This window comes from Homo sapiens, chromosome 4, assembly GCF_000001405.40.
Source record: "Homo sapiens chromosome 4, GRCh38.p14 Primary Assembly".
Taxonomy (NCBI): domain Eukaryota; kingdom Metazoa; phylum Chordata; class Mammalia; order Primates; family Hominidae; genus Homo; species Homo sapiens.
In genome coordinates, this window is record NC_000004.12 from 140,906,120 (window position 1) to 140,931,942 (window position 25,823).

At 40.5% G+C, this 25,823-nt stretch overlaps 1 protein-coding gene across 7 annotated transcripts in view; it reads right to left on the reverse strand.

Moving 5' to 3' along the window:
- The window catches only part of RNF150 (ring finger protein 150), a 353,094-nt gene that overhangs the window by 46,313 nt on the left and 280,958 nt on the right, over window positions 1–25,823 (reverse strand). For all 7 annotated transcript variants that reach the window (XM_047415998.1, XM_011532148.4, XM_017008475.2 and 4 more), the window contains 2 exons: window positions 19,858–19,954; window positions 5,025–5,235 (listed from right to left, as the gene is read on the reverse strand). In XM_047415998.1, the coding sequence (XP_047271954.1) occupies window positions 5,025–5,235; window positions 19,858–19,954 (308 nt within the window). The remainder of the gene's footprint in view (window positions 1–5,024; window positions 5,236–19,857; window positions 19,955–25,823) is intronic.

Sequence of the window (25,823 nt, forward strand, 5' to 3'; positions counted from 1 at the left end):
CTATCAGTTACCTAAAAGTAGGTAGAAAAATCTTGGGCCTGCTAGAATTTTCATTCAGGGGCAAGGAACTCTGACAACCACTCAACACATTTTAAGGGTCAATTAGCAAAAATAAAGATGCATTTAGAATGGTCCCCCACATCTGCCTGAGCCTTGGGTTACCACCTACCATGGCTCAAAAATACTCAAGGAAAAAAAAACCCAACAAAAATATACAAATAAAAATAATATAAATAAAAAGTCAATATGCTAGAACAACTATAATATTAGGTATAAGTATCTAGAGGTGATTTAAAAGTATGGAGGATATGCAAATATTACACCATTTTATATAAGAAACTTGAACATTCTCAGATTTTGGTATCTTTGGGGGAAAGGGGGTATCATGGAACAAATTCCCTGTGGGTATCAAGGGATGACTGTTCAACATGTTAGATACACTCCTCTTTCCCCAAGGATCAGAGTTGATGGGAAGTTAGCAAAGGAAATTTTCCCAGAGGAAATCCATATCATTTTTCATTTCAACTGGCCAAGTTTTTGCCTTTACATTAATTCATGTGTACTGCTTCCTTCTGAAAGTTTGAAGACCAGGTCTCCTGGCCAGACACATCATGCCAAGTGCTTTTCAGAATGTATGGGGCAGATGTGCCATATCTTGATTCCACCATTCCCACCCTCCATGGGCCAAGAGTTGGTTCCCTCTAGTCTGAGATGGAAGAAGGGCCAAGTGGGTAACGATCTGCAGGCAGTGCTAGAGGACTTGTGTAGTGACTCAGTAAGGGGAATAAGGAAATGAATGGCGAGGTCAACAATCTCCTTGAAAAATCACAGGAAGGTTTCAGACCCCACCCCCGCGAGATGTGGAGTGGCACTCAGTGTTTTTAAGAAGGGATAATAAAGTCATCTTTTCTGTGTCTTTCTCTCACTTCTCTCTTGAGTCTCCAAACATACAGGGCTGTCTGTTTCGCTGTGTTTTCCTTTGGTTCTAAGGAACTTTTTTCCCCTGTGGAAGCAAACCCAACAATCTGCATCCTGAGCTTGAGAAGTTAAAGGCAAAGTGTGTTTTTGGCATGATCAGGCTTACAGATAAAGACTGGTGAGTAACGTGTGGGCATTCATACAAATGACCACTCACATGAAGGTGGAGGAGATACACTGTTCTGGGACTGCCATGTGAGGTTTTAAAAGATGAAATGTCAGAAACATTAAAAAATATGTACTTAAAAACATCTTTCTTCTAATGTCAGACTTGCAACAAGTTTGAATTTCCTTGGCTCTGTAAATGTTTTTCATTTTTTTTTTCCTGGGAGCTGAAGATGATCCTTTAATGCTAGACTTTTCCACTTTCACTCTGAAGGCAATCTGTTCTACATCTTTGCTTCATGAGTGCTGAAATGACCTTGACATGCATTTGATCTACTGCACATGGGCCAGGAAAGAAAGAATAGAGGTTGGAATGAGAGTATAAGTAGGAAGTAAACAAATTTTTGATCTTTTAAGAGATTTAGAAAAATGGAAGAACTGAACAAATAAACTAAATGAAAAGTGAGTAGGCAACTGTGTTAATTTTTCCCCCTGTTCTGTCTCTGAGCATAGCATTGCTAAACCTGGGCTCTGGGGCTGGTGGCCCAGTGAGTTCCAGCCCCATCTGTCACTTACAACCTTGGATCAGTGACATTGGACAGTGACATTAATCTCTCTATGCCTCCATTTCTGCATCAGTAAGATGAAGATAAAAATAATATTTACCTCATAGGGTTGTTATGAGCTAATATATGAAAAAGGCTTAAAAGGGTGCCTGGTATGTAATAGGTACAACGTATTTCTTAGCTGCTGTTATTTCTTCCTTTTTTGGTAATTTCCTGGGTCTGTGGAGATGTGAGGAGGGGAAAGAATAATTTGGAGAAAAGTCATGTCCAACCTCCACTGGGTTATTTATTTGCAATTTATAGCAATATTGTATATCCAACTACACTTACGTGTATATCCTCATGATTTCTGAATAGCATTAGAGTTGAGTATAATAATGTTGATGAAAACTTGAATCTTTTGACTCATTTAGTCATGCATTTGTGTTTGTTCATTTATTAATTAAATCTTAATTTGAGTAAGTCACTAGGCAATTAAAAAAATCTGTATAGAGCAGAGGCTTTTTCTCCTAAGGAATTACAGCCACTTAGTTAATGGTATAAACCATTAACAAATAACCAGAGTGTTCATGTTTGTAAAATTCTGAGAAATCCTAATAAATAAAGCTAACCAGAAATATATGGTTTAGGAAAAATATTTCGTGAGAAAATTTAGTTTCTATACTGAGAAACTGATAGCCATATTCATATATGCCATCAGTCTTCTGACTGTAGGTATTGTCATATCACTCTTATTTCTTTATCCCATCTTTACCAGTAGCTTCCTTTGAAATTGCCTGGCTTTCTTTTCTTCTGTTATGAACAGAAGGTCTCCACTTCAAGCTTAGATTGAACATGTTTACCTCAAGTCATTCAATAAACATCTACAGAATGGTCACTATGAACTAAACACTCTGAGTCTGTTTTATGCAAAAACAGTTTAGGGATTACAAATTATATGGATATAGATCATAATTTTCTATTTTTTGATGTATTTTAACCCACAATATATTTACATATATTTTATTTTGGATGTAATTTAACCCACATTAAATTAAAATGCTTTCTCAGTTGTCATCTTGGCTTTACTAAGATCTATGAAGTATGTACCCACTCTTCAAAATAAGGAATCTGACAGATGACGTATCTTCTCTTGAAAACCAAATGGTCATTCTTTTGCAAGGATAATGATCCTTTACAAATGTTTATTTGTTTTTGTTCTCAAAAGCAAGCTCATGCCTTAAATGTTTTTCAACTGCTGGCAAAATTTTATCACATCTTCCAATATATTTCACTAAGGTCACTTATGGTCGTATGTGTGACAGTAATCAAAGATGTCCAATAAATGGAAAAATTCTGAGACCACCTGGTACACCAAAAAGAGAACTTACTATTTGACCTGAGTCAGACATTTAGTCCTCTGGGGCACAATTTTCTCATGACAAAAATTAGAAGTATATTTTGGTAAAAATCAAATGACCTTTAATGTTCTCTTCCATTTAAAGTACTAGTATTCTAGATCTATGCACTCCAATATGGTGCCACTAGCCATATGTGATTACTAAGCATTTCAAATGTGGCTAGTTAAAATTAGTTTTACAGTGTCTCAATAGTTTTAATTTTGAAGATAAACATAACTTTATATTGTCTTAATAGTTTTAAATATTGTCTCAATAGTTTTAATATTGGAGACAATATTTTGTCTCAATAAAATTTAAGTTCTTTACTGTTTACTTCTTGAGCCACTTTATTTAAAAACATTCTGAAACATGCTGTAAGTGTAAATGAAATACACACCAGATTCTGAAGACTGAGTACCAAAAAATGTAAAATATTTTGGATATACAGGGTTAAGTAAAAATATATTATTAAAATGAACTTCATTTATTTTTAATGTTTTAGTGTAGCCATAGAAAAATTTAAATTACATGCATGACTTGCATTATATTAATATCGGGCTGCACCAGTCTAAACCTTCAAAACAAAGGGGTCAAAATCCATCTTTAATGGCTTTTAAATGCCTAATGGTCAACATTTCAATACTGAGATCTTTATACCTATAAAAGTCAAGTTTCTCAAGTTAAAGGTCCTATTTATCAAAAACTAATAAACTTTGCATGTGCAGATATTTCTCACCAAGCTCCTCTTCAAGTCACCTTCTGTCAAGGTCCTGTAAAAATGGTATGGTTACAATATTCAATGTTCAAATCCCATGGATCATCTCAACTATATAATAAAAGATGATCAGGAAATAAACCAAAAGGTTAAGAGTGATTGTTTCCAAGTAGTGGGGCCCTCAGTGATTTTTTTCATTCTTTTTTTAGTCTGTTCTTTCTTTATCTCTCAATTTTTCAACAATGAAGTTTTTTCATCAGAAAAATACATATCTTTACATTTTAGCATGCTTTCATACATTTTATAAAAATCACAAATATGTAAAAGAAAGACCAACTTCAAAGAAAATACCCTCAAATGCTTCAATCTGCTTTTCTACATTTCCAAATTTCTACAGTGAATAGGTTACTTCTGTCAAGAGAAAGAAAGACACTTCGTATAAAAGTTGCAATATCCACTCACTCTTTTAACCTTAAACCTAAGCTAATTTGCATCTGATTTTCTTAGAACTCCTGAAGCTTTTATCTCTTATATTAGACTGAATAGTAGGTACTTTAGATTTTTACTTCTATCTTGATGCTAATACACATAATTTAATATTTTTATGAAAACTACCATCAAACAGAACAGCATTTAGTGACTGTCTATGTATGAGATGGGGGAAAATACCCAGAAGGTATTTTAGTATTCAGGGCCACTGTGCACAGGGGTTTAGTGTCTCTTGCAGATATGGCCATCTAAAGGGATGCCATTCACATCCACGTCCTACAGCAACAAGGAAAGCAGCCTCTTGTCCGTGGTCCAGACTAGTTCATACAGTCACACGCACACTCGGGGCTCCAGTGTGTGTGTGTGTGTGTACACACATGCGAGCATGCGCAGGTGAGTGGGTGTGGTTGTGCCCTATCCCAGTCCTGCTGAGCACCCCTTGTAGTTGCTCCCCTCACCTGCCCTCCAGTCTGAGAGGCTCCAGATCCATGACCCTATGTGCCTCAGGTACCACAGGGAAGCGGACATGGAGAGTGTGCAATGCTGTGATGTGTGAGCCCTGGTGTCAGTGTGTGGGCAGGCAGGAGCATGGGCACACAGAGCCAGGTGGGCTGTCTGCCCTGCTGGCTCTAGGAAAGGCAGTTCTTCTAACAGCTGGCAGTTATAACTGATGAACCTAGCAATGATGTACTCATTCAATATTTTTTTCTTTTTGAGGAAAGGTATTTTTTTCCAATTCCTACAAGGCAACAGTCCTTCTGGCTATGTCACTTTAAGTATGGCAGAACTCACTGTTAGTAGTAAAGATGACGTCTCCCTCCTGGGGGATGGGGTCTGTATCCTGGACCACCTGCAAGGCTCCCACAGTCCGGACAGCAGGGTCCAAAGTGACTGAACTTTCATTCACTGTTGTGTCGCTGGCACCTGTGATCTGGTTGGTGGGTGGACCTCCCAGAGAGCCCTCGAAGTCAGTGGGCAAGTCGTCCATGCAGTCGGCATTGGGCTGATGGGGCAGAAAAAGATCTGTTCTCAGTACATGTCATCCACTTAGAGATTAAATGTCTATAGCCTAAACATTCTGTCTCCATGAAAAAATTAAGTTCTTTATTGTTTACTTCTTGAGCCACTTTATTTAAAAACATTCTATATATAGTTTCTATAAGATTAACATAAAAAGATCTTCCAAAATTTCCTTTCCAAAGGTTCATTTTAGATTGAAAAGATTCCTTTTTAATCTTTTAGATTAAAAATTAAAGTTTTATTTCAAGATAAGCAAAATCTCTACATTTAAATAATCACTTAGGGGGAATATGTGAAATTTATTTACAATGAAGGCACTTCCTTACATATAGTATTATTTATTCCACACCTAGAATGTAGCTGGTAGCCTGATCATTATCCCTTAAAACTCATGTGTTGTTTACAAATATACTAATGATATGAGAGTGGGAGGGAGGATAGAATCTGAGTCATTATGGCTTGTTCATTAAAGATACATACATACCCTCAAACACACACAGAGCACAGGATAAGGCTACATTTAAGAAAAACATAAGCCTAAAGCCAGCTATAGAAAAATATCCCTAAGTCCTTAATACGGTATTGATCATACATTAGTCAAATCCTCTAAATTAAATTCTTAGAATCATAAGACTATGGTGAGACCCCCTTGTTCAATTGCCCATTGATTACAGGACGCTTTCCTCTCCAATATCATTGACAGCTTCCCTTGAAGAACATAGCAATGGGAGCTCTCTGCTTTGCAAGGCACTCTGTGTTGGCCAGCAGTGTTGGCGTCTATTATTATTGGGCAAAATCTTATGCTTTGCAAGTTTTACTCTTTTATCTCAGTTCTGCTGGTTTGAAGTAAAAATGAATATATTTCTATCTCTTCCACAAACAGCTTTTCAAATTACTTTCAGTTGTTCTGTCTCTACACAAACTCAAAATTATTTTCTAAAAGGTGGTGGTGGAGGAATATTGTCTTAAGCAGGATTAAGAACAGCTGTTAATTTCTTTTGCTCTGAACCTCAGCTTTGTCTTGAAGGATGATAATTACATGGTTTACACTCCCAAAGTAGGCAGAACATGATGGTCAGGATTAGGGGAGGAGAACTCTGGATTGATAATGATTGAATTAATATCACAATGACTGTTGTTTTCCAAGTTCATCAGAACAGAAAACCTACAACTCACGGACTCCTAGGGAACACAAAGCAAGACATGCAAAGTGCTGGGCTGTTGTCCTAGTGTTGTGCTCTTAGCTGTATAATGCCAGTCTCCTGAGCTCCACACCTGTGTCCTAACAGTCAGCTGAAGAGCTCTACCATTCCATAAACACATCAAATTCAGTTTATTCATTTCTTTCCTGTATTCTTTCTTCTTTTTGCCCTCTCTAGCTATATTGGAAGTGAGCCAATTCACTGAAACTCAATCTGTCAAAAGTCGATTCATAGAATGACCAATTCACTGAATTTACTAAATTTACTCATTGACATTGGACACGAGCAAGTGGGTTTATGAATATTCTCTCCCCATTACCAGTTTCCCTATCCACTTACAATCTCTTCTCCAGTGTATTTCAGTCTGCACTCTCTCATCAGAACATAAAAAAAAAAAAAAAAAAAAAAAAACACCATGGGCTGGGCGTGGTGGCTCACGCCTGTAATCCCAGCACTTTGGGAGGCCGAGGTGGGCAGATCACGAAGTCAGGTGACCTAACCAACATGGTGAAACCCTGTCTCAGCTAAAATATAAAAATTAGCCAGGTGTGGTGGTGCGCACCTGTAGTCCCAGCTACTGGGGAGACTGAGGCAGGGGAATCGCTTGAACCTGGTAGGCGGAGGTTGCAGTGAGCCAAGATTGTCCCACTGCACTCCAGCCTGGCGACAGAGCAAGACTCTGTCTCAAGAAAACAAAACAAAACAAAACAAAAACCATGGGTATGTTTCTCCTCTTCTCCCAAGGAAGGAATTACATGCTCCCTGGCATGACAGAGGCAGATGCTCAAGAGCCTGGCCCCAGCCTACTTTTCTGGCCTCACCTTCAGCCTTTGAAGACAGACAGCACACCATACACTCCCTCCTCTCAACACTGTAGCTTATATTGTCCCTGTGCTCAGGATGACATTTGATCCAATCACCCTCTTTTTCCTATCTCAAGGTCTCAAGTTGGCCCCTGGTGAATTCCTAATCACCCTTTAATTCCCAGGTCCAGTGTCCCCTTTTCTAAGGCATGTTCCCTCCCAGGAGGGCATCTTTGCTCCTGCAAGCACTTCATAAGGTACTTCTCCCATGCTGTATGGCTATTGTTAATGTGCTGATCTCACTCTACTAGTCCCCAAACATTGTAAAGTGAAGCAACCACACTATATTGACTTTGGATTCCAAGCCCCTAATAGTGCCACTGACAATGACTAGGTGCTCAGTAAATGTTGACTTGGAAATTTGATCTGAGTCTCAGATTTCTGCCCTGGAAACTTGGGCATGATCTGCCCTAAATCAATTAAGGGAGGATTTGAGAAAATACTTGAAAAACTGTAAAGTTCTATTTAAAGGCAAGATATGCTATACACAGGTGTTTATTAAGCAAAACTAACTGTGGGAGAGGTTTTCAGGAAGAAAAGATTTCGCAAAGAGGGTACTGTGCAGGTTGTTCTTTTGGCCATAAATACGTAAATGCAATCATATGCAATAATAATGGACATATTTTTCAAAATGTTGATCTAGCTGTTGATATTGTTCTTTGTATATTTTCTTAATTTTGATGCAGTTTTTTTGTTCTTCATTTTGTGGGATAGTAGGAATAGTGCTGTATCTTTAACAGAGTGGGTAGAGGGCAAAAGAGCTAATTAGCACAGTGAAACTGTCAATGGTAGCAAGCACAAATAATTTGGCTTAGATATAATATTTAACAGACCAAGTTTACAGAACCTCACAGATTATATCCACTCTACATGGTTCATCAAATGGAACAATATTTTGAAAAGAAACCAAATCTACATACCTCTGAGAGAAGACACAATCATAAAGTTTAAAACAAGATGTCAAATGCTATCTGCAAGTGAAAACTGCACAGGCATTTAAATTCAAGTTAGCATGGGAAACCCCTCAAATAAAGCAACTGCTAAATAGAATCTTGTGAATACACCAGGTATACAGCAGGATTTTGTATTCAATAAAAATCACCAACCTATTCCTATGAGGATAATAGTGATAGGAGGTGGTTGCTGGCATATGAAAGTCCCAGGTTATATGGTACCTTAGAAGAGGATTTGCTGAAACTGTATTCTGTCATTCTATCAAGACAGACCTACACCTGACTGGATAGAATGGAGGGTGAAGCACTGTAATGTAGATCAAAATGCTTCTGATAATAAAGGACTCCCCACTATTTGCATTCAGTATTATATTTCCCGTAGCAAAATATAATGGAAAATGATACCTATTGTTATGGGAATTTCATAATCAGTGAACTGTGCTCTCATTCTTTAGTTCATTGTAGAGAAATCACTTACAAAATAACAACATCCTCAGTTTCTGACTTTCGATGTATTTGTCTTATACCATGGGTAGATACAAGGACACTTTGTTAAAACAACAAAAACAAAAACAAAACAAAAAATAATATGCCACATGTATTTGAATAATCTAGTAGATCAGGATTACAGCCAAGTTGTTTGCGAGTTGATACTATTCAAAGGAGAATCAGGATGAAATTCATAAATACGATTGTGTAACTGCCAGCCTTCAAGGCTCTGAAGGGCTGTAATTCCATAGACATTTATTGAGCCCTTAGCATAAGTAAGGAATGCAGAGATGAAGCATGAACAGACATCAGTTATCAGAGAGTGAAAAGCTCTTTTCAATTTTCTTTGAATAAGAAGAAATGGAATACATGGAACATAGGAAAATTATAAGACAATTTGTTTAAGCTGCATAAAAAGGGTTTCAGTTCGATATAGCAAGTATTTTCTAATTGAGAAGGCTGTGAGCTTGCCCAGTGAGATGGAAAGTTTTAAGAATGGAGAAGTCATCTTGCTGATATAATTAACACATAGTGCTACCCAACGGTAGAAGGATGAAGGGGAACAAAATCCAAAATTCCTCCCAGATCCTGACTTTGTCATTCCCTAGGAGAAAAACAGAAAAGGCTTGGGAGGCACAGAAGGTATCCATATGCCTTCATGCTTTGTGAGAAGTAGAACGAAAGTGATTTATTCTTCATGGAGGATGTTCTGTTTTGTGGGGCAAGCTTGGATGTGTATCATGTTCTTGTTCAGCTGGCCTTTAAAAATCTTCAGCAAATCCGCTTAAATGTCCCTGTCTGACAGCTTTGAAGAGAGTAGTGGTTCTCCCAGCATGCAGCTTGAGATCTGAGAACGGGCAGACTGCCTCCTCAAGTGGGTCCCTGACCCCCGAGTAGCCTAAATGGGAGGCACCCCCCAGTAGGGGCGGACTGACACCTCACACGGCCGGGTACTCGTCTGAGACAAAACTTCCAGAGGAACCATCAGGCAGCAGCATTTGCGGTTCACCAATATCTGCTGTTCTGCAGCCACCGCTGCTGATACCCAGGCAAACAGGGTCTGGAGTGGACCTCCAGTAAACTCCAACAGACCTGCAGCTGAGGGTCCTGACCTTAGAAGGAAAACTAACAAACAGAAAGGACATCCACACCAAAAACCCATCTGTACGTCCCCATCATCAAAGACCAAAGGTAGATAAAACCAAAAAGATGGGGAAAAAACGGAGCAGAAAAACCGGAAACTCTAAAAATCAGAGCACCTCTCCTCCTCCAAAAGAATGCAGCTCCTCACCAGCAATGGAACAAAGCTGGACGGAGAATGACTTTGACGAGTTGAGAGAGGAAGGCTTCAGAAGATCAAACTACTCTGAGCTAAAGAAGAAAGTTCAAACCAATGGCAAAGAAGTTAAAAACTTTGAAAAAAATTTAGATGAATGGATAACTAGAATAACCAATGCAGAGAAGTCCTTACAGGACCTGATGGAGCTGAAAACCAAGGCACAAGAACTACGTGACGAATGCACAAGCCTCAGTAACCGATGTGATCAACTGGAAGAAAGGGTATCAGCGATGGAAGACGAAATGAATGAAATGAAGCATGAAGAGAAGTTTAGAGAAAAAATAAAAAGAAATGAACAAAGCCTCCAAGAAATATGGGACTATGTGAAAAGACCAAATCTACGTCTAATTGGTGTACCTGAAAGTGACGGGGAGAATGGAATCAAGTTGGAAAACACTCTGCAGGATATTATCCAGGAGAACTTCCCCAGTCTAGCAAGGCAGGCCAACATTCAAATTCAGGAAATACAGAGAACGCCACAAAGATACTCCTCAAGAAGAGCAACTCCAAGACACGTAATTGTCAGATTCACCAAAGTTGAAATGAAGGAAAAAGGGTTAAGGGCAGCCAGAGAGAAAGGTCAGGTTACCCACAAAGGGAAGCCCATCAGACTAACAGCTGATCTCTTGGCAGAAACTCTACAAGCCAGAAGAGAGTGGGAGCCAATATTCAATATTCTTAAAGAAAAGAATTTTCAACCCAGAATTTCATATCCAGCCAAACTAAGCTTCATAAGTGAAGGAGAAATAAAATCCTTTACAGACAAGCAAATGCTGAGAGATTTTGTCACCACCAGGCCTGCCCTAAAAGAGCTCCTGAAGGAAGCACTAAACATGGAAAGGAACAACTGGTACTAGCCACTGCAAAAACATGCCAAATTGTAAAGACCATCAAGGCTAGGAAGAAACTGCATCAACTAATGAGCAAAATAACCAGCTAACATCACAACAACAGGATCAAATTCACACATAACAATATTAACCTTAAATGTAAATGGGCTAAATGCTCCAGTTGAAAGGCACAGACTGGCAAATTGGATGAGTCAAGACCCATCAGCGTGCTATATTCAGGAAACCCATTTCATGTGCAGAGACACACATAGGCTCAAAATAAAGGGATGGAGGAAGATCTACCAAGCAAATGGAAAACAAAAAAAGGCAGGGGTTGCAATCCTAGTCTCTGATAAAACAGACTTTAAACCAACAAAGATCAAAAGAGACAAAGAAGGCCATTACATAATGGTAAAGGGATCAATTCAACAAGAAGAACTAACTAACCTAAATATATATGAACCCAATACAGGAGCACCCAGATTCATAAAGCAAGTCCTTAGTGACCTACAAAGAGACTTAGACTCCCACACAATCATAATGGGAGACTTTAACACTCCACTGTCAACATTAGACAGATCAACGAGACAGAAAGTTAACAAGGATACCCAAGAATTGAACTCAGCTATGCACCAAGCGGACCTAATAGACATCTACAGAACTCTCCACCCCAAATCAACAGAATATACATTTTTTTTCAGCACCACACCACACCTATTCCAAAATTGACCACATAGTTGGAAGTAAAGCACTCCTCAGCAAATGTAAAGTAACAGAAATTATAACAAACTGTCTCTCAGACCACAGTGCAATCAAACTAGAACTCCGGATTAAGAAACTCACTCAAAACCGCTCCACTACATGGAAACTGAACAACCTGCTCCTGAATGACTACTGGGTACATAACGAAATGAAGGCAGAAATAAAGATGTTCTTTGAAACCAACGAGAACAAAGACACAACATACCAGAATCTCTGGGACACATTCAAAGCAGTGTGTAGAGGGAAATTTATAGCACTAAATGCCCACAAGAGAAAGCAGGCAAGATCCAAAATTGACACCCTAACATCACAATTAAAAGAACTAGAAAAGCAAGAGCAAACACATTTGAAAGCTAGCAGAAAGCAAGAAATAACTAAAATCAGAGCAGAACTGAAGGAAATAGAGACACAAAAAACCCTTCAAAAAATTAATGAATCCAGGAGCTGGTTTCTTGAAAACATCAACGAAATTGATAGACCACTAGCAAGACGAATAAAGAAAAAAAGAGAGAAGAATCAAATAGACGCAATAAAAAGGGGATATCACCACCGATCCCACAGAAATACAAACTACCATCAGAGAATAGTACAAACACCTCTACACAAATAAACTAGAAAATTTAGAAGAAATGGATAAATTCCTGGACACATACACCCTCCTAAGGACTAAACCAGGAAGAAGTTGAATCTCTGAATAGACCAATAACAGGCTCTGAAATTGTGGCAATAATCAATAGCTTACCAACCAAAAAGAGTCCAGGTCCAGATGGATTCACAGCCGAATTCTACCAGAGGTACAAGGAGGAGCTGGTACCATTCCTTCTGAAACTATTCCAATCAATACAAAAAGAGGAAATCCTCCCTAACTCATTTTATGAGGCCAGCATCATCCTGATACCAAAGCCTGGCAGACACACAACCAAAAAAGAGAATTTTAGACCAATATCCTTGACGAAAATTGATGCAAAAATCCTCAATAAAATACTGGCAAACCAAATCCAGCAGCACATCAAAAAGCTTATCCACCATGATCAAGTGGGCTTCATCCCTGGGATGAAAGTCTGGATCAACATATGCAAATCAATAATTCTAATCCAGCATATAAACAGAACCAAAGACAAAAACCACATGATTATCTCAATAGATGCAGAAAAGGCCTTTGACAAAATTCAACAACCATTCATGCTAAAAACTCTCAATAAGTTAGGTATTGATGGGACGTATCTCAAAATAATAAGAGCTATCTATGACAAACCCACAGCCAATATCATACTGAATGGGCAAAAACTGGAAGCATTCCCTTTGAAAACTGGCACAAGACAGGGATGCCCTCTCTCACCACACCTATTCAACATAGTGTTGGAAGTTCTGGCCAGGGCAATTAGGCAGGAGAAGGAAATAAAGGGTATTCAATTAGGAAAAGAGGAAGTCAAATTGTCCCTGTTTGCAGATGACATGATTGTATATCTAGAAAACCCCACTGTCTCAGCCCAAAATCTCCTTAAGCTGATAAGCAACTTCAGCGAAGACTCAAGATACAAAATCAATGTACAAACATCACAAGCATTCTTATACACCAATAACAGACAAACAGAGAGCCAAATCATGAGTGAACTCCCATTCACAATTGCTTCAAAGAGAATAAAATACCTAGGAATCCAACTTACAAGGGACGTGAAGGACCTCTTCAAGGAGAACTACAAACCACCCCTCAATGAAATAAAAGAGGATACAAAGAAATGGAAGAACATTCCATGCTCATGGGTAGGAAGAATCAATATCGTGAAAATGGCCATACTGCCCAAGGTAATTTATAGATTCAATGCCATCCCCATCAAGCTACCAATGACTTTCTTCACAGAACTGGAAAAAACTACCTTAAAGTTCATATGGAACCAAAAAAGAGCCCGCATTGCCAAGCCAATCCTAAGCCAAAAGAACAAAGCTGGAGACATCACGCTACCTGACTTCAAACTTGGTTACAAGGCTACGGTAATCAAAACAGCATGGTACTGGTACCAAAACAGAGATATAGATCAATGGAACAGAACAGAGCCCTCAGAAATAACGCCACATATCTACAAATATCTGATCTTTGACAAACCTGAGAAAAACAAGCAAGGGGGAAAGGATTCCCTATTTAATAAATGGTGCTGGGAAAACTGGCTAGCCATATGTAGAAAGCTGAAACTGGATCCCTTCCTTACGTCGTATACAAAAATTAATTCAAAATGGATTAAAGACTTAAACGTTAGACCTAAAACCATAAAAACCCTAGAAGAAAACCTAGGCATTACCATTCAGGACATAGGCATGGGCAAGGACTTCATGTCTAAAACACCAAAAGCAATGGCAACAAAAGCCAAAATTGACAAATGGGATCTAATTGAACTAAAGAGCTTCTGCACAGTGAAAGAAACTACCATCAGAGTGAACAGGCAACCTACAAAATGGGAGAAAATTTTCGCAACCTACTCATCTGACAAAGGGCTAATATCCAGAATCTACAATGAACTCAAACAAATTTACAAGAAAAAAACAAACAACCCCATCAAAAAGTGGGCAAAGGACATGAACAGACACTTCTCAAAAGAGACATTTATGCAGCCAAAAAACACATGAAAAAACGCTCACCATCACTGGCCATCAGAGAAATGCAAATCAAAACCACAATGAGATACCATCTCACACCAGTTAGAATGGTGATCATTAAACAGTCAGGAAACTACAGGTGCTGGAGAGGATGTGGAGAAATAGGAACACTTTTACACTGTTGTTGGGACTATAAACTAGTTCAACCATTGTGGAAGTCGGTGTGGCGATTCCTCAGGGATCTAGTACTAGAAATACCATTTGACCCAGCCATCCCATTACTGGGTATATACCCTAAGGATTATAAACCATGCTGCTATAAAGACACATGCACACATACGTTTATTGCGGCACTATTCACGATAGCAAAGACTTGGAACCAACCCAAATGTCCAACAATGATAGACTGGATTAAGAAAATGTGGCACATATACACCATGGAATACTATGCAGCCGTAAAAAATGATGAGTTCATGTCCTTTATAGGGACATGGATGAAATTGGAAATCATCATTCTGAGTAAACTATCACAAGAACAAAAAACCAAACACTGCATATTCTCACTCATAGGTGGGAATTGAACACTGAGAATACATGGACACAGGAAGGGGAACATCACACTCTGGGGACTGTTGTGGCGTGGGAGGAGGGATAGCATTAGGAGATATACCTAACGCTAAATGACGAGTTAATGGGTGCAGCACACCAGCATGGCACATGCATACATATGTAACTAACCCGCACATTGTGCACATGTACCCTAAAACTTAAAGTATAATAATAATAATAATAATAATAATATAATTGATAGACCGCTAGCAAGACTAATAAAGAAGAAAAGAGAGAAGAATCAAATAGACACAATAAAAAATGGCAAAGGGGATATCACCACCGATCCCACAGAAATACAAACTACCATCAGAGAATACTATAAACACCTCTACACGAATAAACTAGAAAATCTAGAAGAAATGGATAAATTCCTCGACACATACACTCTCCCAAGACTAAAGCAGGAAGAAGTTGAATCTCTGAATAGACCAATAACAGCATCTGAAATTGAGGCAATAATTAATAGCCCACCAACCAAAAAAAGTCCAGGACCAGATGGATTCACAGCCGAATTCTACCAGAGGTACAAGGAGGAGCTGGTACCATTCCTTTTGAAACTATTCCAATCAATACAAAAAGAGGGAACCCTCCCTAACTCATTTTATGAGGCCAGCATCATCCTGATACCAAAGCCTGGCAGAGACACAACCAAAAGAGAGAATTTTAGACCAATATCCTTGATGAACATTGATCCAAAAAACCTCAATAAAATACTGGCAAACCGAATCCAGCAGCACATCAAAAAGCTTATCCACTAAGATCAAGTGGGCTTCATCCCTGGGATGCAAGGCTGGTTCAACATATGCAAATCAATAAACGTAATCCAGCATATAAACAGAACCAAAGACAAAAACCACATGATTATCTGAATAGATGCAGAAAAGGCCTTTGACAAAATTCAACAACGCTTCATGCTAAAAACTCTCAATAAATTAGGTATTGATGGGACGTATCTCAAAATAATAAGAGCTATCTATGACAAACCCACAGCCAATATCATATTGAATGGGCAAAAACTGGAAGCATTCCCTTTGAAAACTGGCACAAGACAGGGATGCCCTCTCTCACCACACCTATTCAACATAGTGTTGGAAGTTCTGGCCAGGGCATTCAGGCAGGAGAAGGAAATAAAGGGTATTCAATTAGGAAAAGAGGAAGTCAAATTGTCCCTGTTTGCAGATGACATGATTGTATATCTAGAAAACCCCATCGTCTCAGCCCAAAATCTTCTTAAGCTGATAAGCAACTTCAGCGAAGTCTCAGGACATAAAATCAATGTGCAAAAATCACAAGCATTCTTATACACCAATAAGAGACAAACAGAGAGGCAAATCATGAGTGAACTCCCACTCACAATTGCTTCAAAGAAAATAAAATACCTAGGAATCCAACTTATACGGGACGGGAAGGACCTCTTCAAGGAGAACTACAAACCACTGCTCAATGAAATAAAAGAGGATACAAAGAAATGGAAGAACATTCCATGCTCATAGATAGGAAGAATCAATATCGTGAAAATGGCCATACTGCCCAAGGTAATTTATAGATTCAATGCCATCCCTATCAAGCTACCAATGACTTTCTTCACAGAATTGGAAAAAACTACTTTAAAATTCATATGGAACCAAAAAAGAGCCCGCATTGCCAAGTCAATCCTAAGGCAAAAGAACAAAGCTGGAGGCATCATGCTACCTGACTTCAAACTTGGTTACAAGGCTACAGTAATCAAAACAGCATGGTACTGGTACCAAAACAGAGATATAGACCAATGGAACAGAACAGAGCCCTCAGAAATAATGCCGCATATCTACAACTATCTGATCTTTGACAAACCTGACAAAAACCAGAAATGGGGAAAGGATTCCCTATTTAATAAACGGTGCTGGGAAAACTGGCTAGACATATGTAGAAAGCTGAAACTGGATCCCTTCCTTACACCTTATACAAAAATTAATTCAAGATGGATTAAAGACTTAAACGTTAGACCTAAAACCATAAAAACCCCAGAAGAAAACCTAGGCAATACCATTCAGGACATAGGCATGGGCAAGGACTTCACGTCTAAAACACCAAAAGCAATGGCAACAAAAGCCAAAATTGACAAATGGGATCTAATTAAACTAAGGACCTTCTGCACAGCAAAACAAACCACCATCAGGGTGAACAGGCAACCTACAGAATGGGAGAAAATTTTCGCAACCTACTCATCTGACAAAGGGCTAATATCCAGAATCTACAATGAACTCAAACAAATTTACAAGAAAAAAAGAAACAACCCCATCAAAAAGTGGGCAAAGGATATGAACAGAGACTTCTCAAAAGAAGACATTTATGCAGCCAAAAGACACATGAAAAAATGCTCACCATCACTGGCCATCAGAGAAATGCAAATCAAAACCACAATGAGATACCATCTCACACCAGTTAGAATGGTGATCATTAAACAGTCAGGAAACAACAGGTGCTGGAGAGGATGTGGAGAAATAGGAACACTTTTACACTGTTGGTGGGACTGTAAACTAGTTCAACCATTGTGGAAGTCGGTGTGGCGATTCCTCAGGGATCTAGAACTAGAAATACCATTTGACCCAGCCATCCCATTACTGGGTATATACCCTAAGGATTATAAATCATGCTGTTATAAAGACACATGCACACGTGTGTTTATTGCAGCACTATTCACAATAGCAAAGATTTGGAACCAACCCAAATGTCCAACAATGATAGACTGTATTAAGAAAATGTGGCACATATACACCATGGAATACTATGCAGCCATAAAAAATGATGAGCTCATGTCCTTTGTAGGGACATGGATGAAGCTAGAAACCATCATTCTCAGCAAACTGTTGCAAGGACAAAAAACCAAACACAGCATGTTCTCACTCATAGGTGGGAATTGAACAATGAGAACACATGGACACAGGAAGGGGAACATCACACACTGGGGCCTGTTGTGGGGTGGGGGAAGGGGGGAGGGATAGCATTAGGAGATATACCTAATGCTAAATGATGAGTTAGTGGGTGCAGCACACCAACATAGCACATGTATACACATGCAACAAACCTGCACGTTTTGCACATGTATCCTAAAACTTAAAGTATAATTAAAAAAAAATCTTTACCAAATCCAAAAGATGCTACTGATGTTTATTTTTCTGACAGTTCATTGTGCAAAGTAAAATCCTATCCGACTTGTTAGGCATCAAACCATGGCCAGAATGCCCAAATGCTAAAAGTTAAAATGTTATTCATCTTGGAAATAAGAGAAAAGACCACCCAATAATTCTTCTAAAAATAATTAACAGCAATATTTGCAACTTATTTACAAGTAGCTTCTGCAGAAGTTATACCTCCATTGAAAAAATCTGGAGTCAAATACTCTTTAGTACAAAATTGAACGATGGATGCTTGTTAAGTTTCATTGTCCTGACCAGAGAGCAGTGGGATTGGCACTTAATATCTCTAAAAATACCCTGAACAATAGGAACACATCAAAGGATGCAACTGTCTCTGTCTCATTGTGAGAACTGTCAGGATTCTAAAGATTTTGGAGACCATAGACACACATACACACATTTCCCCCTCCCCTGAAAGACTCAGTTATAGACAGAAATGTGAACAGTACAAAAACTGAGCTCAGCTTTCTAAGTCACCAGTATCTGGTAGAGCTCTTGGGTTTTTACTGATGTTTCATGTTCCTGTAATTGATTTTCATCATGAATGCATTATGCATTTATAACTGGTCTGAAAATTTAATGCATTATCTTTAAAATCTAGCTCAAAGGTATAGTCACACAAGTTGATGTGTGTTCAGAGTATCAACCATGCAAATCATACAGCAGGCATGGAGGCAGCTGGCACAGGGTAGAAAGTTCAGCCAATGCATGTCCTCATAATGCTTCAGGTGCGCCCTCTCCAGCAGAGCCACTCTGATATTCCTAAGATAATGCATCTCTGGCATTAAAGTAAACCTTTGATATGGGATCTGATCCTTCTTCAGTGACATCTTGGGACTATTAACATTCTCTTTATTCTCTGCCATTAGCAGTGAGGAATGACAATAGGCAGGTGGCAGCAAAGTGGAGGGGCTGAGGGGGAGCTGGCATCTGCATTTCGTTTGTCTGACTTCTACACAGCACCGTATGGTTTCTCACATCTCTCAGTGTAGTCCTTGGATTTGGTGGCCTGCCTTGCTTCCTGCCCTCATTGCTGAGAGGGGAGAACACATAGCAGCTGGTGTCTCACCACCCACCAGTTTGCAGGCTTCACCTGATACAGTTCTGGGAAAGTCTCCCTGGAGCATCAAGCCAGCTGGCTGATTCTCTTTGTACAGGGGAGAGACTAAACTTTAGAAAACATTTAGTCTCTGGGGGAGTCAACTGGGGGAACCCGTTAAATTGAGAACTAAGTGCTAGCATTAAGTAGCTCTGGCTCTGGTTTCCTGTTCACTCAAAGTCTCCACAGAGATCTGAGTTTAGCTGAGGCTTTGAGCCTGACTTTCAGCCTCTGTCCTCCCCTCCGATTGCTGGGAGGTGCTCGCTCCCTCTGAAAGCCAGGTGATCGTGGGGCAAAGTGTGGCTTACGGATCTTCCTGATGGCCAAACAAGGGTGATGATGATGCAAGAGGTGCTCAGTGTGCAACTGGCCCGGGGTGTATCTGCTGCCGTCCCACCTGCCCTCCCATGCTGCAGCCCAGAAGAGAAGCCAATGAGCTGCACAAGTGATACCTTGACTCACAGACAAATATAATGGACATGGTGAAAGGTTGGGATGTCCTCAGAGAAAAAGTGAGGGGAGAAATGCTTTCAGACATAGGAGTTCTCTTGGAGCCTTGTAAGATGATGTGACTGCTATGTGTGACTGAGGGGACACAGAACATCCAAGTATAATGTTTTCTCCCTGCTTTGAGGGCAACGCAGAAAGACAGACATTATAATGCTGTAGGCTGTGCTGTGCTTACCGGGATCCCTAGGGCTTTAAGAATGTTCATCTTGCACATGGGACAGGTACGATGGTCTAGAAGCCAGGGGTCAACACAGGACTTGTGGAAAAGATGCCTGCAATGAGAACCATACATCTTAGAGCGGCGGTAACTGCAGAGAATACCTGGTCCACCATGGCCCAGGGACTCGTCCAAGGTCACAAAATTACTCAGTGGCAGAGCCAAGACTCAAACCTCCATCCCTAACTTGTGGGCCAAAGTGTTTCCTGTTATAACCTGTGGTGATATAGTCAAAATCTGTCTGGATCCCAAGACTGTCCTATATAATTTGCAATGGAGTTTTCCAAGTTTCAGAAAATGTAGAAAATGCAGAAACTGAGAGATTTTTCTTTTTCTCAATAGGAAGAAGCTCCAATGAAAATAATGCAAGTGGGGAAACTTGTACACACCTTGTAGGATGACTTGATTGATACTACTTTAAAAAATATGCAGAATTTCTTTTCCCACAGTCAGTAGAAAACTGCAAGTAAAGGCTGATTTCCATTAATATTTGGGATCTAACACAAAAGGGCAAAAGAGCTCCTGAAAGCATTCAGTAACACCAATGCCATTTTAAGTTGTGGCTTCTGGTTGTCAAATCAAAAGCCAGAGTAGAAGGCTCTGGGGTTTCACGTAGGTAGCCGTCATATCTGCACAGTTGATTAACTCAACTACATGGTCATTCCCATGTGCCAATCATTACTAGCTTTTATCTTCGTGGCAGAAGGGGCATTTGGTGGCTACAGGAGGGCTTCCTAACTGAACTTTCTCTGAACTTCGCTTGAAAGAGTCCACACAGAGATGTCAGGAACTCCTTGAGTCAGAAGCTTTTCTTCTAACTCCCAAGACTCCAGACTACAGGCAGAAGTAGTCAGAATTTTCTGCCTGGGGCAAGAAGAGAAAGAACTATCTGTTTTAAGTCTGAGGACTTCCTCAGGACATTCCATGCATGACTGACTCTCTTTCTGTACTCCCTGCCTCTCACCCCTCTGCAATGGAGCAATGTTCTTGAATATTTCTATTCTGTTCTCTCACTTGCACCTCCTTTTGTTCTAATAGTTCCAAAAACCTCATTTGCCTTGTGTTAGAGGGTGCTGGGCTCAAATACTTAAAAAGTACCTCCAAATCAGAGAAGAGTTCAGGGAATTGCTACCTTTTAAACTGAAATTAGAAGAACGCCAATGCCAAAGATGAGATTGGCTGCATAGAGGATATGATCAGATTGGGGATTAGAAAAAAGGACTGTAGCAACAAGGATGTGTTATTATGTTTCCAGATTATTGTTGAAGATGCCCTGCAGATTTACTATGATATGGTTTGGGTCTGTGTCCCTGCCCAAATATCATGTCGAATTGTAATCTCCAGTTTGGAGGTGGGGCCTGGTGGGAGGTGATTGGATCATGGGAGCAGATTTCCCTCTTGGTGCTGTTCTTGTGATAGTGATTTCTCATGAGATCTGGTCATTTAAAAGTGTGTGGCACTCCCCACCCCGCTTCCTTCTGCTCCAGCCTTGTGAAGTGCTGGCTCTCTCTTTGCCTTCTGCCATGATTGTAAGTTTCTTGAGGCCTCCCCAGAAGCCCAGAAGATGCCAGCATCATGCTTCCTATAGCCTATGGAACTGTGAGCCAATTAAACCTCTTGTTTTTTTGTTTCTTTTTTTTTTTTTTTTGAGATGGAGTTTTGCTCTGCCGCCCAGGCTGGAGTGCAGTAGTGCAATCTCAGCTCACTTCAACCTCTACCTCCCGGGTTCAAGTGATTCTTGTACCTCAGCCTCCCAAGTAGCTGGGATTACAGGTGCCCACCACCAAGCCTGGCTAGTTTTTGTATTTTTAGTAGAGACGGGGTTTTGCCATGTTGGCCGGGCTGGTCCTGAACTCCTGACCTCAAGTGATCTGCCCACCTCAGCCTCTCAAAGTGCTGGGATTACAGGCATGAGCCACTGGGCCTGGCCTAACTCTATTTTCTTTATAAATTACCCAGTCTCAGGTATTTCTTTATAGCAGTGTGAGAACAGACTAATACATACTACTTGGAAGGAGTATATTTCATTCACTCATCCATTCACTCCTTTATCTGTGCATTCATGCAACAAGTAGTATATACTAAGAACTGTGCTCAACAGACAGAATCAGCACAATGGTGATTTGGCTCCTTCCGTCAGGAAGCACAGCAGGAGAGGCAGACATTAATAAAATAATACAGAAGTAAAGTACTTAGTGACAACAGTGTTAAGTACTACATTAGAATAAAAGGGAGCTTGGCGAGGAGGTGCTTATAACTGGGAGATTTATCCTAGTTGGGGTGTTCAGGGAAGGGCTCCCTAACAAAGTGACGAAGCTGAAACCTAAGGGGTACATGGGTCATGGTTTACATAGAGGGGAAGGGGAGGTGGAAGAAGGGGGAATGGCTCATGCAAGAGCGCAGGGAGGGAGGGGGAGCAAGGAGAAGGGGGTGTCTGGCACCCAAGTTGGATAAAGCCATTCCTTTCCTTGCACTTCCAAAAAGCAATTTTGACCTCCCTATGTTCAGGATCTACGCTCTGTATCTTTATTTCTTTTTCTTTTTTTGAGACGGAGTCTCGCTCTGTCACCCAGACTGGAGTGCAGTGGCAAGATCTCGGCTCACTGCAAGCTCCATCTCCTGGGTTCATGCCATTCCCCTGCCTCAGCCTCCTGAGTAGCTGGGACTACAGGCGCCTGCCACCACGCCCAGCTATTTTTTTGTATTTTTAGTAGAGACGGGGTTTCACTGTGTTAGCCAGGATGGTCTCGATCTCCTGACCTCGTGATCCACCCGCCTCAGCCTCCCAAAGTGCTAGGATTACAGGCGTGAGCCACCGCGCCCGGCCCTGTATCTTTGTTTCTATTCCTACATATTTCCTGCTGGTTCTAATTCTCTGGAGACTCCTGACCAATATATCCTCCAATTAGAGTGGAGGATTGCTCTCTGTGAGAGCAAAATCCTCGTTTGCTTGATTCACTGTTGCATCCTGGCAACCCCAGTTCTTGGCACACAGTTGATGCTTAAGTTCCTAATCTGAACTTGCTCACCAACTGGTGTTGCTCCTGGGAAAAAGGCAAACGCTCTGGTCCTTTGACCATTCCCTGGAGGCAGGGCTCTGCTGTTTTCTGCACATAGGCTGAGTCAGAATGACAGCAAGGCCATTCATTAGCAATCAAATAAGATGATTAATATCCCCAAGTCTCAGTGGCCTGTCTGTAGGATGGAGAAGTATTTAATACTACAGCGGAAAAGCCTTCCCCAGAGTCTCTGATCCACAGACACTGGTCGTTGTTCTCAAACACCCTCAGTTATTTCTCTCTATGCACTGGTCATTCTTACACCTCCTCTGGATGCTAAGTTTTTTTTTTTTTTTTTTTTTTTTTTGAGATGGAGTCTTGCTCTGTCGCCCAGGCTGGAGTGCAGTGGCGCGATCTCGGCTCACTGCAAGCTCTGCCTCCTGGGTTCACGCCATTCTCCTGCCTCAGCCTCCGGAGTAGCTGGGACTACAGGCACCCACCACCACGCCCAGCTAATTTTCTGTATTTTTAGTAGAGACGGGGTTTCATCGTGTTGGCCAGGATGGTCTCGATCTCCTGAACTCGTGATCCACTTGCCTCGGCCTCCCAAAGTAATGGGATTACAGGCGTGAGACACCGTGCCCGGCCTGGATGCTTAGTTTTTATGTGTCAGTTTGGCAAGGCTGTAGTATAGTTCTTCAATTGACACAAGTCAAGATGTTGCTATGAAGGCATTTTGTAGATGTGGTTAATATCTACAATCAGTTGACCTTAAATAAAGGGGATTATCCTCAACAATCTGGGTGGGCCTTATGCAATCATTTGAACGATCTTAAGAGCAAAACTGAGGTTTTGGCTGGGCATGGTGGCTCATGCCTGTAATCCCAGCATTTTGGTAGGCCAAGGCAGGCGGCAGGCAAATAACTTGAGTTCAGGAGTTTGAGACTAGGCTGGCCACCGTGGCGAAACCCTGTCTCTACTAAAAATGCAAAAACTAGCTGGGCGTGGTGTTGTGTGCCTGTAATTCCAGCTACTTGGGAGGCTGACATGGGAGAATTGCTTGAACCTGGGAGGTGGAGGTTGCAGTGAGCCGAGATCACACCACTGCACTCCTGCCTGGGTGACAGAGCAAGACTCTACCTCAAAACCAACCAACCAACCCACCAACCAAACAACCCTGAGGCTTCTCTGAGAGGAAATTCTGCTCAAGACTATAGCATCAGCTCCTGCCAAGAGTTTCCGGCTTATAGGCCTGTCCTGAAGACTTCAGGCTTGCCAGATCTTACAATCACATAAGCCAATTCCTTGAAATCTCCACCTGTATCTATATCTCCATTTCTATATATCTCCTGCTGGTTCTGCTTCTCTGGAGAATCCTGACCAACATATCCCTCCAATTAGGACACAAGCTGTAGGAGAATAAAATTCTGGTTTGCTCAATTCGCTGTTGCATCTCCGGGACCTAGAACAGTTCCCGACACACAGCTGATGCTCAAGAAACATTTGCTGCATGAACAGATATTTATTTACCCAAGGACCTAGCACTCCTCCCTGCCTCCACATGGTCAAGTCTCATTCATGCACTCTTCCTGAATCTCTGTCACATTCGGGACTTTTCTTCTCTCAGCGTGGCTCCCTCCTGCATTGGCTCATCATCATTTTCTCTGTGTCACTTCAATGGCATCGAAACTGCTCTCCACACTGCCAGTCTTTTCTTGTTCTCTTCATCCCACTCATTGTTGCCAGATTTATCTTCCTAAAATATAGCACTGGTTACGTCACCCCCGTGTTCCATTCTGTTCTGTGCTGAGAGCTGGGTACAAAGATGAATAAGACAAGGCCCTGCCCTTTAAGGCAGCATCACAGTCATTTAGCGATTCACTGTTAACGACAATGGAAAGGTTGCACTCCTGGATCTGCTGGGGTTTTTTTTTGTTTGCTTTAATTGTCCTAGGCAGGCTACCTTAGCTCTGTAAGATTCAGCTCCTCATCAGTGAAATTTTGTCTTATAGGTATGGGCTTCATGAGTGAATGAGTCTGTGTGTGTGTGTTTGGGGTGTGGGGAGAGAGAGAAGGGGCGGGGAAAGGGAATAAATAATACTCACAAAGCTTAAAACATAAGTCCTGGTACTCCTTAATTGTAAACTACCATAAATCTTATTAATAGCATTGTATTACATCTTATTTTAAAGATATTATGTGATTATTATGATTTCTACTCTTTTGTGTAACCTTCCTAACATGGAAAGCAGATAACTACAAATTTTAAAAAAATCAGAGGGAGAACTAAGGGCAAAAAAGAAAAACTGCTGAAATGCCACACAGGGCAGTCAGGCTTATTATTAATTCACAATCATTTCTTTTTGGTAGCATATTGATCATCAAATATGAAAACTTTATCCTTATAATTGGGATTGGAAAGCAGTATTTTTCCTCCTAAGTGGAAAGAAAAGTAAAAGTCAACAGACTAAATAAACAAACAAAAGGATAGGGAAAGGATCTGGAGTTGAGTGAAATGCACCAGTTAGTAAACATCTCCAAGGCAAAGTCCATCTCATCTTTTTTATAGGATTCACAGGATAGCAGTGAATCTTCCCATGGTTTAACAAGTGCTGAGTGAGAAAGCACACACGGAAGACAAGATAATCCATCTCTTAACAATCCCGACAAATTGGAAATACAACAAAGAGTTGGCCAAAACTGTTTTCTTTCCTCATTCACCAAAGGGAAGCAAACATTTTAAAAATAGTTCTTCAAACACCCGAAAACAGAGGATGCAGACAACTGCATAATGATGCAGAGATGATGATGAATAATAAGTTCTCACACTTTTTGGCAGTAATGACAAACCAAGCTAATCTAATTTCCACATCTATTGATTCTTGTTTTCTGCTGTTCTTTCACCTATATGTGTGATTCCCTCCC